The sequence below is a fragment of the Homo sapiens genome, chromosome 11, assembly GCF_000001405.40.
Source record: "Homo sapiens chromosome 11, GRCh38.p14 Primary Assembly".
Classification (NCBI taxonomy): domain Eukaryota; kingdom Metazoa; phylum Chordata; class Mammalia; order Primates; family Hominidae; genus Homo; species Homo sapiens.
This window is the reverse complement of record NC_000011.10, coordinates 66,875,887-66,893,168: the sequence shown is the minus strand read 5'-3', so window position 1 is coordinate 66,893,168 and position 17,282 is coordinate 66,875,887. Positions and strand designations below refer to the sequence as shown.

General features: G+C 52.1%; 1 protein-coding gene across 12 annotated transcripts in view, besides 6 other annotated features; it reads left to right on the top strand.

Moving 5' to 3' along the window:
- The window catches only part of PC (pyruvate carboxylase), a 109,964-nt gene that overhangs the window by 65,215 nt on the left and 27,467 nt on the right, over nucleotides 1-17,282 (top strand). Inside the window, exon 1 of one of the 12 annotated variants that reach the window (XM_005274031.5) lies at nucleotides 13,608-13,694. The exons of 10 other annotated variants lie outside the window; for them this stretch is intronic. The gene's annotated coding sequence lies outside the window, so the exon portion shown is untranslated. Of the gene's footprint in view, nucleotides 1-13,607; nucleotides 14,860-17,282 lie in introns of those variants that run through there. One more of the 12 variants, XM_005274032.5, reaches the window with a different exon arrangement.
- Nucleotides 562-631: an enhancer, noted in NCBI's record as "active region_5059". NCBI's record gives its function as "activates an Ori minimal core promoter by ATAC-STARR-seq in GM12878 lymphoblastoid cells {active_cell/tissue: GM12878}" and the evidence as "EXISTENCE:reporter gene assay evidence [ECO:0000049][PMID:35858748]".
- Nucleotides 9,718-10,455: an enhancer, noted in NCBI's record as "H3K27ac-H3K4me1 hESC enhancer chr11:66650185-66650922 (GRCh37/hg19 assembly coordinates)". NCBI's record gives its function as "activates a minimal SCP1, AML or CMV promoter by ChIP-STARR-seq in naive and primed H9 embryonic stem cells {active_cell/tissue: H9 hESC(naive and primed)}" and the evidence as "EXISTENCE:reporter gene assay evidence [ECO:0000049][PMID:30033119]".
- Nucleotides 10,456-11,193: an enhancer, noted in NCBI's record as "H3K27ac-H3K4me1 hESC enhancer chr11:66649447-66650184 (GRCh37/hg19 assembly coordinates)". NCBI's record gives its function as "activates a minimal SCP1, AML or CMV promoter by ChIP-STARR-seq in primed H9 embryonic stem cells {active_cell/tissue: H9 hESC(primed)}" and the evidence as "EXISTENCE:reporter gene assay evidence [ECO:0000049][PMID:30033119]".
- Nucleotides 14,150-14,888: an enhancer, noted in NCBI's record as "H3K4me1 hESC enhancer chr11:66645752-66646490 (GRCh37/hg19 assembly coordinates)". NCBI's record gives its function as "activates a minimal SCP1, AML or CMV promoter by ChIP-STARR-seq in primed H9 embryonic stem cells {active_cell/tissue: H9 hESC(primed)}" and the evidence as "EXISTENCE:reporter gene assay evidence [ECO:0000049][PMID:30033119]".
- Nucleotides 15,615-16,115: an enhancer, noted in NCBI's record as "H3K4me1 hESC enhancer chr11:66644525-66645025 (GRCh37/hg19 assembly coordinates)". NCBI's record gives its function as "activates a minimal SCP1, AML or CMV promoter by ChIP-STARR-seq in primed H9 embryonic stem cells {active_cell/tissue: H9 hESC(primed)}" and the evidence as "EXISTENCE:reporter gene assay evidence [ECO:0000049][PMID:30033119]".
- Nucleotides 16,116-16,616: an enhancer, noted in NCBI's record as "H3K4me1 hESC enhancer chr11:66644024-66644524 (GRCh37/hg19 assembly coordinates)". NCBI's record gives its function as "activates a minimal SCP1, AML or CMV promoter by ChIP-STARR-seq in primed H9 embryonic stem cells {active_cell/tissue: H9 hESC(primed)}" and the evidence as "EXISTENCE:reporter gene assay evidence [ECO:0000049][PMID:30033119]".

The window sequence follows — 17,282 nt, the reverse complement described above, 5'->3', positions numbered from 1 at the left end:
CGTGGGAGTGAGTCGTGCCCTGGGGTCACAGTGGGGGTCCTCACTGACACGGTGCAGCTGGACAGCAGAATCTCATCTTTCAGGTCGTCTGACTTGTTCTAAGGGTCTGTCAGGGTTGAATCATGCTTGCCAAGTAGCATCTTAAAAGATATTTCCACTGCAGCAGCCCCAGCCCTTCAACCTGGGCTTCTGTGGCCTTCTAATTCTTCCTTCTCTGCCTCCCCTCCACCCACCCCCACATCATCAGCAGCAGATCCAACATGAATACCAAACACTCACAGTTAATACTAAAAGCCAACAATTTTTTTTTTTTTGAGATGGAGTCTTGCTCTGTCACCCAGGCTAGAATGCAGTGGCGCCATCTTGGCTCACTGCAACCTCCACGTCCTGGGTTCAAGCGATTCTCCTGCCTCAGCCTCCCGAGTAGCTGGGAAGCTGGGATTATAGGCGCCCGCCACCGTGCCTGGCTAATTTTTTTGTATTTTTAGTAGAGACGGGGTTTCACCATCTTGGCCAGGCTGGTCTTGAACTCCTGACCTCATGATCCACCCACCTTGGCCTCCCAAAGTGCTGGGACTACAGGCGTGAGCCACCGCGCCCGGCGACATTTTTCTTAAAGTTCAATCTCTCATCTCTGATGCAGCTCGCACTCATTATTGCCATCCTTGGAGCAGCTGTGGCAAACGAGTAGCTTGGATGTCAGTAGGAAGTCTTGTCTCTACAGGCTGACCTGCCTGGACTGTTGCTTTGCCCTTTTGGTTGTGCGTTCTGGAACGTGATGCCTGTGCTTGTCAGCCTTGATGAGTCACATTGAAAAAGCTCTTAGTCATCCCAGGCCCTGGCTGAGTCAGTGTATTGGGTGACACCTGTGGCCAAGCACTGGCTGTTTTACAACTGAGACTGTCCCAGAACTCTTAGGCACTCTGGTCTCAGGGGAAGTGTTCTTCATCTAGTTCAAGGCCAGTCTTTCACCCGAGCCTCGCAGCCTTGTTCCCGGACTCGCCCCACCTTTTATTCTCATCCTTCCTTCTTCAACTTGTCATTCCCTCTCAACTCCTTCCCCTTCCTCTTCCTATAACTTGCTAAACATCCTCCCAAGCGTCTGCCATGGGTATAACAGAGAATGGATTCATGCCTAGAATACATAAAGATTTATTACAGCTCAGTAAGAAAAAGACAACCAGCCCAGCAGAAAAGTGGGCAAATGATGTGAACAGGCAGTTCACAAAAGGAAAAACCTAAAAATATATCCACAATCATAAGAAAATAGCCAACTTCAGTAATAATCAGGGGACTGAAAATTAAAATGATACCATTTTATACTACAAGGTTGACAGAAATCAAAGTCTAACAATATAACAGTTGGTAAAGATGTGGGGAGATAGACATTCTGTTGTATTTCTAGTGGCTGTGTAAATTATTAGGATAACTACCTTGAGACTTATTTGGCAATATTGATATTAAAAACTTGCCTATTGGCTGGGTGCGGTGGCTCACGCCTGTAATCCCAGCACTTTGGGAGGCTGAGGTGGGTGGATCACCTGAGGTCAGGAGTTCACGACCAGCCTGACCAACGTGGTGAAACCCGTCTCTACTAAAAATACAAAATTAGTCGGGCATGGTGGTGCATTCCTGTAATCCCAGCTACTCGGGAGGCTGAGGCTGGAGAATCGCTCGAACCCGGGAGGCGGAGGTTGTGGTGAGCTGAGATCGCGCCATTGTACTCCAGCCTGGGCAACAAGAGCAAAACTCTGTCTCAAAAAAACAAAACAAAACAAAACAAACAAAAAACAAAAAAACTTGCCTATTAGGTGGGCACAGTGGCTCATGCCTGTAATCCCAGCACTTTGGGAGGCCAAGGTGGGCAGATCACCTGAGGTCAGGAGGTAAAGACCAGCCTGGCCAACATGGTGAAACCCTGTCTCTACTAAAAATACAAAAAAAATTAGTTGGGCATGTTGGCGCACATCTGTAATCCCAGCTACTCAGGAGGCTGAGCCAGGAGAATCACTTGAACCTGGGAGGCGGAAGTTGCAGTGAGCCGAGATCGCGCCACTGCACTCAAGCTTGGGCGACAGAGCGAGACTCTGAAAACAAAAACAAAAACAAAAAAAAACCCCATGCCTATTGTCTGACGCAGCAATTCCAATTCTAGGTATATGTCCTAGAGAAATTTTTGCACATTTTCTATATGGGGTCAAAGTTATTCATTTTTTAACACTTTTAATCGACTACTTTTATATAGACACAAAAATAGAGCAAATAGTATAATGAACTCTATGTACCTGTCGCCCAGCTTCAACAATGATCATTTTGTCAGCCTATACAACACAGTTCTTAATTGCTAAAAATTGGAAACAACCGCGGCGGGGGAGGTGGCTCATGCCTGTAATCCCAGCGCTTTGGGAGGCTGAGGTGGGTGGATCGCCTGAGGTTGGGAGTGGAGTTCGAGATCAGCCTGACCAACATGGAGAAAACCCATCTCTCCTAAAAATACAAAATTAGCCGGGCATGGTGGCACATGCCTGTAGTCCCAGCTACTCGGGAGGCTGAGGCAGGAGAATCGCTTGAACCTGGGAGGCAGAGGTTGCACTGAGCCAAGATCACGCCATTGCACTCCAGCCTGGGTGATAGAGTGAGACTCCATCTCAAAAAAAAAAAAAAAAAGATGAAACTGCCTTATTTATTTATTTATTTTTTGAGATGGAGTCTCGCTCTGTCACTCCAGCCCAGGCAACAAGAGTGAAACTCCATCTCAAAAAAAAAAAAAAAAATGGGAAACAATCTATTTGTCACTGCCTTAGTCTGGGCTGCTATAACACAATACCATAGGTTCATTAAACAGCAGAAATGCATTTCTCACAGTCCTAAAGACCAGAAAGTGCAAGATCAAGTGTCAGCAGATTCAGCGTCTGGTGAGGGCCCACTGCCCGGTTCATAGATCACTGTGTTCTCACGGACAAAGGGGAAACAGAGTTGTCTGATCTCTTCTGTGAGGCTTCTAATCCCATTCAGGAAGGCTCTGCTACCAGCCGCTAATCTTCTCCCCGAGGCCCCACCTTCTGACACTGCCACATTGGTTAGGGTTTCAGCATAGGAATTTGGTGTGGACACAAACATTCAGGCAATAGCAGTCCCTCATTCGGCATGTACAGATTGCGATATGTCTAATAGAACATTGTGCAGTCATTCGTGAAGTAGGTCTACTGTATTAACATGGAGAGATTTCAAATATATATTGGGTAAAACAAGTTAAAATGATTATATCATTTATGAAAAAAATTAGAACATATGGTTATGGGCACACAAATATCCAGGTGAAATCAACAAAGGGGAAGTAGTAACTCTGCATTGTGGGCCCCCTGGGAGAAAAGGAGAAAAGGACCCGGAATGGTATTAGGAAGAATCACAAAGGAACTGCACCTGTTTGCAGAGTGTGGTTTTTTTTCCCTTTTGGTAAGTTTAACTTTTATTTTATCAAAATAATACATGTGAGACTGGGCACATTAGCTCATGCTTGTAATCCTAGCACTTTGGGAGGCCAAGGCAGGCGGATCACTTGAGGTCAGGAGTTGGAGACCAGCCTGGCCAACATAGTGAAACCCCCATCTCTACTAAAAATACAAAAATATTAGCTGGGCGTGGTGGCGGGTGCCTGTAATCCCAGCTACTCGGGAGGCTGAGGTGGGAGAATTGCCTGAACCTGGGAGGCGGAGATTGCAGTGAGCCGAGATCATGCCACTACACTCCAGCCTGGGTGACAGAGTGAGACGCTCTCAAATAATAATAATAATACATGTGGACACTTCTGAAAGTCAGATTGTACCCTGAGGCTCATTTGCCCCCGCCACCCCTGTCCCACTGCCCTCCCCATGAGTGCCTCCCAGAGGCTGCCCTGCAACTCCTGTTCCCCACGGCATTGCTCTGTTTAGTGGTCTCCTTTGATGGAAGATTGAGCTCACTTTTACTGCCCTCCCCATCTCAAACCCTGCCCCACACATGTACCCACTTTCCCTCCCTTCACCCTGCATGGTTATATAGAAACACTTTTAAGTACATTTTCAGAATTTACATTTTTGTTTTGTTTTGTTTTTTGAGATGGAGTCTCACTCTGTCACCCAGGCTGGGGTGCGGTGTCGCGATCTCGGCTCACAGCAACCTCCGCCTCCTGGGTTCAAGCGATTCTCCTGCCTCAGCGTCCTGAGTAGCTGGGATTACAGGCATGCACCACCACGCCCGGCTAATTTTTGTATTTTTAGTAGAGACGGGGTTTCACCATGTTGGTCAGGGTGGTCTCGAACTCCTGACCTTGTGATTTGCCCGCCTGGGCCTCCCAGAGTGCTGGGATTACAGGTGTGAGCCACTGCACCCAGCCAAGATTTTACATTGTTAACATTAAGTTAATATTCACATCTGAAAATACAGAGTGTCTACTATGGTGGCATTAACTTTTCATTTTCCTGGAGTTGATGTTCATCCCCAGACAAGTTGTGCGTTGCCATCTCCTCTTCATTCTTTCGGAGACACCAGGTAATCTGCCTTTTTGTTTGTTTATTTAAGGCCACATCCCCAGGAGCTGCTGTCCAGGTGCCTGGCGGGTCTCCAGGCCTGTGGACAGCGAGCGACCTGGGCCTCCCTCCCCATCGCCGTGGGAGTTCCCTTTGCCTCCTCTGTGCTGGCTGCCCAGGTGCCTGGATCCCTTGTCTTCCTTATTCTTGGTTTATTTAGTCCTTTGTTTTGTTCGTGCCCATCCCTGGGCTTCTTGGGCAGACAGGCTCACAGGTGGCACACCTCCCAAGGCCTGGCGTGTCTCAAAAGATTGGTATTTTACCCCCACTGGATTAGTAGTCTAACTGGATAGAGGACTCCAGCTTGGGAAGCGTTTTCCCTCCAAAATTGGAGGACATTACTCCAGAAGCTTCTGACTCCATGTCACTGCTGAAGACAGTTGTGTGTGACCCTTGGTCTTCAGAAGTGTGGTAGGCTGGAGATGGCCTCCAAAGGTACCCAGGTCCTAATCCTAGTTGTTACCTTAGAAGGAAGAAGGGCTTTTTCAGATGTGATGAAGGATTCTGACCTGGAAAGGTGATCCCGGATCATCCAGGTGGGCCCCGAATGCCATCACAAGTGTCCTTAGAGGACAGAGACCTATGCTGAGGAGAAGGCGATGTGGAGACAGAGCCAGAGGTGGGAGTGATGTGGCCACGAGCAAAGGAGCCCGGCAGCCATAGAGGCTGGAAAAGACTCGGGAGGGATTCGTTGCAGGCCCTCGGAGGGGCGCAGCCCTGCCCTCACTTGGTTTCGGCCTGTGAAAGTGATGTTGGATTTTTGACCTCCCAAACTGAAAGAGAGTGGGAGGTCTCTTTTGGCATCCCAAACTGATCTTTCTTCTGAGTGGGACTTTTGGCATCACTCCAGGCGCTCCAAGACCTTTCCACATGGATACGCGTCCTTCAGTCCCGGGAGACTTTCCAGCAGGATTCCCCTGCCCCTGGCTCTCTCGTCTCCCCTTCCGGGAGTCCCAGGCAGCTGGATGCTGGACTTGCTGGACTGAGTCTCTTATTTTCTTATCTTTTCTCCTATTTTCCATATGTTAGTCTTTCTGGGTAATGTCCCAAACTATCTTCTAATTCTCTATTTATTATGTTTAAAAATTTTGCAACTCTATTTTTAATTTCCTAGAGCTCTTTCTTGTTGCCTTTTTAAAATAGCTGCCGCCTCTTACTTAATGGATGCAATAGCTTTTCTTGTTTCTCTGAGGAGATAAATTATAGTTTTTCTGAGTATCTGTTCTCTATATTACTTTTCTCCTCAATGTTCCTGTTTTTTAAAAATCCCAATTTGTTTTGGTGAATTTTTTGGTCATTTCCTCAAATATCTGGTGGTGGTTCGCTGACCGTTCACACTGAAAAATGAGACACCAACACCCATTGGCAAGTCTGGGTTGGGGTGGAGCTTGGTGGCCCCTGGTCCTCTCGCTGGGAGATGAGACTGGGCTCCCTGGGGAGCCCACTGCATACCAGTAGCTGCAGGACTCCTGGTTCCTGGAACGGAAGCTTCCAGTTCGCTGCCTGGAAAAGAGCCCAGTAAGCACTCTGTGGAGCCGAGAGGACCTTCCACACATTCCCCAACAGCCATGTGATGCCTCACCTCCTGGGCCAGCCCTGATGGCCGGGGCTGGAGCCTTGTATCTTGGGAAAGACGCTGTGGCACAGTGGTCAAAGGCAGGACCCTAGGTTCTGAAGCCAGGGGCGTGCACCGTGGCACTGACACATCCTAGCAGCGTGCCTTCCTGCCTTCGTCTCTGGAGCGGGCTGGGATGACTCCCAGGTCTCTGCAGCTCAGAACTCTTTACACAGGAGACTCACTGTCTAGCTGTCTGTTCTTTCCAGCCGGATACTCTTCAGGTTCAAAGCTGAGTCACTGTTTCTACCCACATTGGCTTCGCGTTCTTTAATTTGGTGTTGCCATCGTTCACCTTAAAACCCAGGGCCACCCTTCCCTGCTGCCTCTCTGCCTCCCATCTAATGGGTGCTGTTGATGCCACCTCCTAAGTATTTCTTGGCACAGTCCCTCTTCATTCCTATTCCCACCACCGTGGTTCAGGTCCTCATTGTCTCTTGCCCACATTAGAACATCTTCCTAGCTGACCTTCTACTTCTCATCTTTCCTTCTCAAATCCAGCTTCCCCAGAGCTGCCACAGTGGTCCTGAGCTCTCAGTTGCAAATCTGTCTCCCTGCTGCCTGGTATTTCCATAGCATCCCGACATAGAGGACACTGCCCAAGCTGCTGGTGGGGCCCACTAGCTCTGGACTGAGTCTCAGGCTCAGCCCTTAGGCTCCTCTCCCTGCCTGCACTCCCTGCCTCAGCGGGCCACGCCAGGCTGTTTGCTTCCTGCCTTATCTGCCTTTGCTCCAGCCGCCCCAGCACCTGGACCTCCTCCCCTCCTCTGCCTGCCCCCCTCCCTCCCCTCTTCTCCCTCTGGACGTCCCTTCCTCCTCCCACCCTGGAGTCTTTCCTTCAGGCCATCTTGCTAACTCTGCCCTGCTCTCCACGCAGGCGTGGCCCGCCTCATCATCCTTCACTTCTCATCTCTGCTGCCTCTCACTCAGCCTGCCCCAGCCAGCTGATCACAGTCCCAAATAGCGACATGCTCTGAAAGCCACCGCTGTGGCCTGCATCAGGATGTGCGGATGAGAGGGGGGTATTTTTACCATCATTGTGCTTCTCCAGCCCCTGGTGTTAGGATCTGTATAGGATCTGGTTATTTGTAGGCAACCTGGGTGTATTAGATTCCTACAGCTGCCATCACAGGGTGCCAAAAGCTGGGTGAAAACAACGGTGACTTCTTGCCTCACATCTGGAGGCCAGAAACCCCAATTCAAGGTGTGAGCAGGGCCGTGCTCTCTCGGATGGCTCTGGGAGGGTCCTGCCTGGCCACTGCCAGCTTCTGGTGTTTGCCAGCAGTCCTTGGCCTTGCCTGACTTGTAGCTGCCTCACTCCAGTCATGTGGCCGTCATCTCCTGTGTCTTCACATCTTCATTCTGTGTGTGTCTGTGTCCAGATTTCCCCCTTTTTATAAGGACACTAAGCATATTGGATTAGGGCCACCCTAATGACTTTATTTTTACTTGATTACCCTATTTCCAAATAAGGTCACTTTTTTTTTTTTTTTTTTTTAGACAGAGTCTCACTGTTGCCCAGGCTGGAGTGCAATGGCGCCATCTCGGCTCACTGCAACCTCTGCCTCCCGGGTTCAAGCAAATTCTCCTGTCTCAGCTTCCCGAGTAGCTGGGATTATAGGCAGCCACCACCACACCTGGCTAATTTTTTGTATTTTTTGGTAGAGATGGGTTTCGCCTTGTTGGCCAGGCTAGTCTTGAACTCCTGACCTCAGGTGATCAGCCCACTTCAGCCTCCGAAAGTGCTGGGATTACAGGCGTGAGCCATCGCGCCTGGCCCAAATAAGGTCACATTCTGACCTAGGTGCTAGGGGTTAGGACTTCAGTGTATCTTTTTTGGTGGGGGACACAATTCAACCTCTAACACCGGGTGACACCCGCTTGTCCTGAGCTTGACAGGTCCCGAAGTCCCCAAGGCCTCTGGGAGGCCCTCTCTAATCCAGCCAGCATTCATGTCCTGTCATCTTGGAACGAGGGGAATTGAGTGGGGAGCAGGTCCTGTGAAGCTCTCCAGCAGGGGTGGGGTGGCCTGAAGAGGGTCGGGAAATGTCCTGGGCCACCTGCAAGTGTCTGCTGGGTCCTGGCATCTTCCTCCCTGCAAAGATTGTCCAGTTCTGTTTAGAATTGAGTCTTTGGTGCCCCTAGCCTCTGTCGCCCCTCGCAGCCCTGAAACTCAGCTTCCCTGGTTCCCATTGCCAGGCTGCGTCTGAGTCCTTTTGGGCTTTAGTGACAAAATACCACAGGCTGGGTGGCTTTTAAACAACAGACATTTATTTCTCACAGTTATGGAGGCTGGAAGTCCAAGATCAAGGTTTCAACATATGGGTGTGGGGGGCACAGGCACGCTCTGCATTAGTCTGGGAGGTGCTTTTTGCTGACCTTGTCCTTCAGACCCTCTCTCTGTCCTGTCAACATCACTTTGGGCTCTAATCAATATGTATGGGACATTTGTGTGTCCCACTAGTGTGTGTGTGCTGTTCCCAGGAGGGGCCAAGCCTTACTAATCTTTATCTGAATGCTCCATAATATTTCTAGGTAAATCTTTTTTTTTAACTAATTGATTAATTATTTTTTGAGACAGAGTCTTGCTCTGTTGCCCAGGCTGGAGTGCACTGGGACCATCATGGCTCACTGCAGCTTCAACCTTCTAGGTTCAAGCAATCCTTCTGCCTCAGGCTTCCAAGCAGCTGAGACTATCTATGGGCACCACCATGCCCAGCTAATTTTTTTTTTTTTTTTTTGAGATGGAGTTTTGCTCTTGTTGCCCAGGCTGGAGTGCAATAGCACGATCTCAGCCCACCGCAACCTCTGCCTCCCACGTTCAAGCGATTTTCCTGCCTCAGCCTCCCAAGTAGCTGGGATTACAGGCGTGTGCCACCATGCCCGGCTAATTTTGTATTTTTAGTAGAGATGGGGTTTCTGCATGTTGGTCAGGCTGGTCTTGAACTCCCAACCTTAGGTGATCCACCCGCTTCAGCCTCCCAAAGTGCTGGGATTACAAGTGTGAGCCACGTGCCAGGCCACACCCAGCTAATTTTAAAAAGTTTTTTTTTTAATTTTTTGGCAGAGACAGGATCTCAATATGTTGCCCAAGCTGATCTCAAACTCCTAGACTCAAGTGATACCCCTGCCTCGGCCTCTTAAAGTGCTGAGATTACAAGCATGAGCCACCACGCCTCACGGTGAATCTTAACAGCCTCATGCCACTCTGCAACCTCATTGTGACCTGAAGTATTTCTTCACTGATTCATTCCCTCAGACATTTATTTAGTTCTGGTCTTACGCACTGTACAGAGTGCCAGGGAGATGTGGGGACAAAAGAGACCAGGGATCCTGTGCCCAGGGCCCTAACAGTGTCTATTAAAGGAGACAAGACGGGTCAACAAATCTTTATAACATTAAATGCTCTTTGCTGAGGACACAGACGCCACGGAGACCTCATGGAGAGCCCCCTGAGCAGGACGATGGGTGGGGCACAGACAAGGACAGAGCTGAGGGAGGTGGCTGCCCGGGGAATATAGGGAAGGCATTCCTGAGCCTACTCCTATAGGATGTGGAGGAATGGGGACAAGTGACCTTCCCATGTGAGCCCTGCCCACACCCCGTGCTGCAGGGTCGGCAGGAAGCTGGCTCCTCGTGCGCCAGGGGGCAGTGTTGGCCCTGAAATTCTCACTGCTTTCCAGTGAGGCTGGGATGGAGCAGCCACCTCACTGCAGGCCCTCGGGACCCCTCACTCTGCTTTCTCTGAGACCCCCTTTGTCCCCCAGTCCACAAGTCCCGAGACCATGGCGCCAGTCGCCTCGGTGCCACCCTTTCCCCCTCGGCTGCTCCTTTGAATAGAGGGTTGCCAGGGCGATGAGGAGCCCTGCTGGCACTGTTCACTGCTGTTCGTCGCCGCAGTGCCACTTGGAGCAGCCGGCGCTCCTGGGGGCCCAGAGCCCGGACAGCTGAGCCTCGGCGAGCACCCGTGCTGTGTCTGTTTCCGTCTTTGGTATTGTCTCTCTCCTGTCTTCTGTGTCTGTCACCTGCATTGTTTCCAGCGTCCTCCCTTCTGCCCCCCCTGCCCAGAAATCTCAGCCTCAGTCTGTCCTCTCTTGGGTGCTTTGATATCAGCCGTGGCAGCCCTGAGAGCCAGGTGGAGTCGTTCTTTCATCTGTCCCTCTTGGCTGCCAGCCCTGGGGCCCGTCGGACATGTTTAGAGCAGAGCCGCCTGGGGAGAGCGGCCCCATCCGTCAGAGCTGCCACCGCCGCAGCCCCGAGTGCTCTGCCAAGAGCTCTTTCTTTCTGGTTCTGACCTGCTTTCACTGGCAGCTGTGGAGCCCAGCTGGGGCTAGGGGCACAGCCTGGTGCGGGTGCTGGTGCTGGGGGCAGCTGGGCCCATAGGAAGTAGGTGTGTGGAGCTTTGTTGGTTCGGAGGTTCCTGGGGCCTGTTTCTGAACCACACTTCTTTCTTCTCTGCCCTCTGCTGCTCTCCAGCACACCTCTGAGGATTTGCTGAGGGACCCAGGTGCTCTGCTGGGCTTTCAGAACCAACTTGCTGGCCACCCGCCCCTGAAGCAGGGCCTGGTCTTTCCCTTCCTCTGCGGCCTCTTGCCCACTGCTGCCCTCTGAGGCTGCAGGAGACGCTCTGTGAGGACAGGAATATGTAGGACGAAGCGATGTGGGGCCTCAGCTGCAGCAGCTCTTAGGTGGCGCCCTGCCCTGGTCCCCAGAAAGGCTGCTGAGCACTGGGGCCACGTTGTTGTCTGGAACAAAACTTGGGGGATGATGGCCTGACAGCAGGATTCTGTGCTCCTTCTGGTTGCAAGAGGCATCCTGGGAGATGTAGTTCAGGTCTGAAGTAGTGGGATTTCAGGGACATTTTGATGATTTATTAGACAAATTGAAACTGCCTTGGCTTATCTGGGACATGTGACTGCTGACATTGTTCGTCAGCTCTCGTTGGGAAGCTCTGAGTGCCACTGGTGGCCCTGCTGGAGGCCAGGCCAGTGACAGTTTTATCAGAAGTGGGGTTTTTGGTTTTGGTATTTTGGTTTCCAAGTGCCTGTCACACTGTGCTCCTGATGAAAGCCGTGACTTACTCCTTTAGTTGAGTGAAGAGTCCATAGGCCAACTCTGATGGGTCCGAGCTCCTGCTCTGGAGGGGGCCATATGAAGCGGGCTCCAGGCCGGCTCTGCTGGTGGCCTGGGTGTGTCACTTAATCCCACTGCACCTGGTCCCTTACCTGTACAGGGAGGTGATGAGGGGCTGTGAGGGTTACTGAGTGAGTCTGCGTGAAGAGCCACAGTGGCCCCTGCCTGGCAAGGAGCAAGGCTCTGCTGGGGTCACTGCCCACCATTGTGCCCTCCTCCACTGGCACTGGCCGGGCACCAGGTGGAGCTCAGTGAGTATGTGTTGTGTGCTATGGAAGCGGCAGCTCTGTCAGGAGCGGGGCAGGTGACGGCCAGGCCCTCGCCCTGCCTCAGCCTGCAGGTCGTCGTAGGTGCCTTCCTGACTCCCTTCTGGAAGGGGAATGCTGAGTTATTGATCTGAAGCTGAAGCTGGGAGGGAAATGGAAGCTGTGGAGTCACCCGAGAGGCAGCAGGGGAGGAAGCAGGTGCCCCACACACTACTGGCTTCACTGTGGCTCATTCTTGCTTGCAAGGAGTTATTTACACGTCCCAAGTGACAGTCAAAGCTGTCTTATTTCTTGGTCTCTTATGCACAACCCGAGGCCAAGAAAAGGGATCTGTCAGCTGGCATTTGCAGAAAATAGCAAGTGGGTCTCTGGGCTGTCAGCTCTCTGGAGAGGAAAACAGGGTGAAGGATCTTTGGGTGATGGTGGTTGCTTTTCTCTCACTCACTCACTACTGTTTCCCCATTTCTGAGGTCAGAAAGGGAGAGCTTTGCTTGTGTGTATCACCAGGAGCAAGCAAGACAGTGGCATCCCCCGAGGCGTGTAACTGTAACCTGAGCTGGTTGCTGGCCCTGGCAGCATCCCAGAATGCCCTTCACACCTGGGGCTCTAGCAGCCTCCCTTGAAGAGTTGCGGCTCAGCTCGAGGGAGCAGGAAACGGCTCTGTGGGTTCTGTTAGTAAAGCCCTCTGCATTTCCAGGGAAGCTTCTCAGCCAAACTTGACAACCTTGAGAACTTCTTGATTGCCATCCACCAACCAAATACCCAAAAGCAGGGTGCAGCATGGGACTGCAGCATGGGACTGCAGCATGGGACCGCAGAGGGAGCCTGGCCCCAGCCATTGCTGCCCCCTGCTTCCTGTGCCTGGCCATCGCCTATTCTGTGCCGTGCTGTGAAGATGGCAGGAAGTGCCTGGAATGGTGCCAGCCAGAAGGGCTGCAGACTGGTGGCACTTGCTGGGAATGTGCCATTGTGAGTTGAAAGGCTGGCATACTCCAGTGTCTGGGCTTGGTTTCGTACAGCCTGAGGACCGGGAGTGTCATTAATACCAGAGGCAAGGCTTCTGGGGGTCTCAGGAAGGCCGTCTCCCACCCTCTGCTGCCACTTCCGAGGGTCACCATAGGTGCCTCCAGCTGCAGGGGTTCCTTCTTCTATACCCCAAGTGCTGTGCAGAGGCCCCTGCTCCCTTCGGCTTTGGGGAATGGTCTAGTATTGGGGAGCAGGGGGAGTCTGCCCACCCAGCTCCTCCCTTTGAACCATCCCAGACCCCTCAAGCTCAGCATACCCAGAGTCGGCTTATTCCACCATAACCTTGAAGACCCTGCTTCCTGGAGAGAGGGTGGTGTGAGGGGGCCACGCCCATCTTACAGTGCGGTTTCTCCCAGCCGATGTTGATTCTGGAAAGGCCTGGGTTTCAGATCTGGGAAGGCAGTGCCATTCGATAAGGAAAAACTGGGTTAACCAAGTTCTAGGAAGGGTGCAGGCGCCCTGGGAATGCAGTGGTGTTTCAGTTCATCTTTATGTCTGTTGGGCCCCATCCGTGCCTGGCATTGTGTGCGGGTCAGGGAGAGACAGGTTGGTGGTGGGGGTCTTGTGTGACCACAGCGGTGAGCTTAGTTTCAGGGCCATAACTAGGTTCTAAGGAGCAGTGCAGCCCTCACCCTCCGTCATTCACAGCAGCTCCTGACAGCCTTCCCCAGCCCCACACTGCCTGCTGGCCAACATTTCCGTGTCTTCCGCCTCACTCGGCAGCACATCCCAAATCCATCACAGAAACCTGCCCTCCCGTCTCTGACTGCCTCCTGTCTCAGACCACCTCCCTCATCATCTTGCCAGGTCCCTAGGGGGCCGAGGGAGCAGGCTGTGGGCTGTGGATCAGCTACTCTCTGCGTGACCCAACCTCCCGCCTCCCTGCAGCCAGCGGCCCATGCCAGCTTCTAGGCCTCAGGTTCACAGCCTCTAGGCTCACTGCTGCCCCTTCCCCTGATTGCAGCCCAGGCCTCCAGCAGCCTTGTGTTGGGGAACTTTGTATTCTGGGCCAGTAACCTCAGGCAGAAGAGCAGCTGTCTGTGGCTCCTCAGACACCCTCCTCTGTGCACTGAAGGCCGGTACAGGGTGAGTGCTCTGGGACAGGTGCCCCCCTCTCTGCAACACCTGACACTCCCAACTACTTTTGTTTGGGGTGGGTCTTCCTTTGCAGAGGAATGTTGGGGACAGGTTTCTGCATTGGCAAAAGCACGTGGTGTCCTCGGGCCTGTGTGTTTGCTCCAAGTGTATGTGGGCATCACACCTGCTGGCTCCCCTATGCAGTGAACTCTGCTAAGCATTGGGTGCATGGTCAGCCTGGCTTGGTGGGTGGGCTGCCTGTGCTGCCTTCACCCCAGGACGGCCTGGCCTGTGGGGAGGTCAGCATGGAGCTGCATCATGGTGCGAGTGGGAGGGCGCAAGTGTGTGGGCCTTCCAGCTGTGTGGGGCCGGGGGCTTCCTCCCTGGCCCTCTGTTCATCTGGGAGGGGAGGGAGTTGGGAAGATAGTGACAGCAGCTGATGTTTGTCACCCAGGCATGGCGCTTTAGCTGTACTGTCTCAGTCGACCCCCAGGATGACCTGCTTAGGGTGGGCTGGTGGAACCCCGTTTTACAGATGTGAAAGCTGGGGCCTCAGAGGTGCCCAAACCATGGAGCTGGGGCAGCCCCCGGCCAGTGGACTGTGGGCCTGCGCTGGGCTGTGCCCCAGAGGAGGCTACTCTCTGTTCCACTTTTCCCTGCTCTGACTTCAGCCGAAGAGCCCTGATCTTTTCCCTTCCATAAACATCTGCCTGGCATGCTGCCACCCAAAGAGCTCCCGTGCCCCGGGGACAGTCCTCTTGGCCTCAAGTCTAGGCCTGCTTTCGCTTCCCTCTGAGGGACACAAGGACTCACGGAGGCATTCCTGTGCCCCCCGCTGCCCACAGCCTCCGGCTCTTGGTGGAGTGGGACTGCTAAGGAATCCTTTACCCACCAAGAAAAAATGAGGATCCAATGCAAGAATGTATGTGAGAGGGGCCGCCGAGGGGGCGGCAACATGTCAGCACTCCATCATTTTCCTGCCTGAGCTAAGCAGACACTTGGTGGCCACGCTGTGGGGCAGGGTGCAGCCTTCCAGAGGCTCTGGAGGTGACCGGCCTTTGGCATATCTTCTGAGGAAATCTCTTTCTTTGCATGGAAAAGGCAGTGGGGAGTGAGTGTGGTGTGGACAGGGGAGGAGAGCAACAAAAATGACCTGTTTACCCACAAACCACGGGTAAGTGCCCCTGTGGTCGCAGGGTAAACCCACCCAGGTGGGAGGAAAGGACTGGGGCTCCCTGGAAAAAGCTTGAAACTGCCCTGGAGGTTTGAGAATCTCGGTGCCAGTGGGCTGCTGCCAGCTGTGAGGCTGCTCACCTATAGGCAGGCCAGCAGGTGAGGAGGGGGAGGGTGCTAGGCTCCTGGGAGACACATAGCCAAGTCCTCCCACCCAAGGAGTCGGTGTAGCAGGAGCTCCCTTCGCCTTTTCCTGCGGAGCTCTTCCTGTCCCTTCTGTATATTTCTTCTTTTTTTTCTAATTATAAATAACGCATCCCCAATGGAGAAAATATGGAAATTTTCCATATGGAAATATAGAAAAGCATAAAGAAGGAGGAAAACACAACTCTACAGCAATTCCATAGCACGTGGGAGTGAGGAGGGTGGCATGCAAGCAGTCCTACAGTTGTTGCCATTCCTTTAAAAAAACTTCATGAGATCATGTTGTTTACCATTAAATTTTCTTGGCTTCACATTACATCACAAGCATTTCCCATGTCATCAAAACCTGTGCAAACACATTATTGTTAATGGTTACATAATGTCTGTGGGAGCCAGGGTGTGGAATCTTTAAATTGCTTCTCATGATTTTCTGTTGTAAATAATGCTGCTTTGAACATCTTTCTGCGTACATCTTGGTTCCCATTTTGGAATATTTCCTGGGGTTGGATTTCTGGAATAGTAATGACTGGGCTCAGGGGCATAACCCGCCACCATGCCTAGCTAATTTTTTTGTATTTTTTAGTAGAGATGGGGTTTCACCGTGTTAGCCAGGATGGTCTCCATCTCCTGACCTCGTGATGCACCCGCCCTGGCCTCCCAAAGTGTTGGGATTACAGGCGTCAGCCACTGTGCCCGGCTTTTTTTGTTTTGTTTTGTTTTTGAGATGGAGTCTCGCTCTATCACCCAGGCTGGAATGCAATGGCGCGATCTCGGCTCACTGCAACTTCCGCCTCACAGGCTCAAGCAACTCTCCTGCCTCAGCCTCCCGAGTAGCTGGGACTATAGGCGCCCACTATCATGCTGGGCTAATTTTTGTACTTTTAGTAGAGACGGGGATTCACCATGTTGGCCAGGGTGGTTTTGAATTCGTGACCTCAAATGATCCGCCTGTCTCAGCGTCCCAAAGTGCTGGGATTACAGGCGTGAGCCACCGCGCCTGGCCGGGCATAAATACCTTAAAGGCTCTTGATAAGTTTTGCAAACAGCTTCCCGGAGAAGCTGCCGTGATGCTCAGCAGTGCCTGCGGGCCGCCTCCTGAAGGCCTTCCTGGCGCTCAGCACTGCATTTACAAAGCTCCCAGGCAGGAGTGGCACCTCATGGTTGTATTTTGAATCTCTTGCTTTCTCGTGGGTTCAAGAGCCACTTGTGTTTGCTGTCTTGTTGCTGTGCTTGTCCCGAAGGCTCCCCTCGCCTCTTCCTGACTTTGCCCTATGTGGTAACTTGAGCTCTTTTGACATGGCCTTTCCCAGCGCTCAGCAGAGTAGACATTTGGTGCCCAGGAGGAGGGTGAGATTTACACCCCACACCTGCTCTCTGATGCCAGTGCCGCCTGCTCCCAGCTGGGAAAGACCTGTCCTCCTAGTGGGCAGCATCCGATAACTCGCCTGGAGCAGGGCTTAGAGGATTGTAGATCTGCATGTGGGAGATAGCAGGGTGATAACGTCTGACGTTCATCCTGCTCTGAGCAGGGTGTCTCCACACCTGAGCTCCTCGCTGGTGCTCCCGGCACCTCTTGAGCAGCAGGTGCTGGGGCATGCACTCCCTAAGGTTATCTCCTCCAGCGGCATTAGCGGTGGGTATGGTTCTTTTCACTTGTCAATTTGAAATGATTTCAGACTTTCAGTAAAGTTGCAAGAGTAAGACAAAGAATTCTCGTACCCCTGACCCCAGTTCCCCCAATACTAGCATTTGCTTCATTGTTCCCGTTTTTCCCTGAACCATGTGAGTGGGTGTAAATTGCAGATGTGGTGCTCGTGGACCCTTGAGTTCCTCAGTGTTTTTCCCTAAGAATGAGGCTGTTCTCTAACATAACCACAGTCCACTGATCAAGATCAGGAAATTGATATCAACGCAATCCTCTTTCAAACCTGCAGACCTTATTTAAATTGTATCGTTGTCCCCTGATGTCCTCTTAGCAATAGAAACCCGGATCCAATCCAGGATCGTGTGTGGCTCTCACCATTGTTGCTTTGGTCTCCTTTCATCTGAAACCGTTCTTGCGTCTTTGTCTCTCACGACCTTTGACATGTTTGAAGAGTCCAAGCCAGTTATTCTGTGGAATTTCCCTGAATTTGAGTTTGCCCCTTGCTTTCTCCTGATTAAATTCAGGCCGTGCACGGCAGCGGGAACCCCATCAGGAGGTGTGTGGTATCCCTTCGG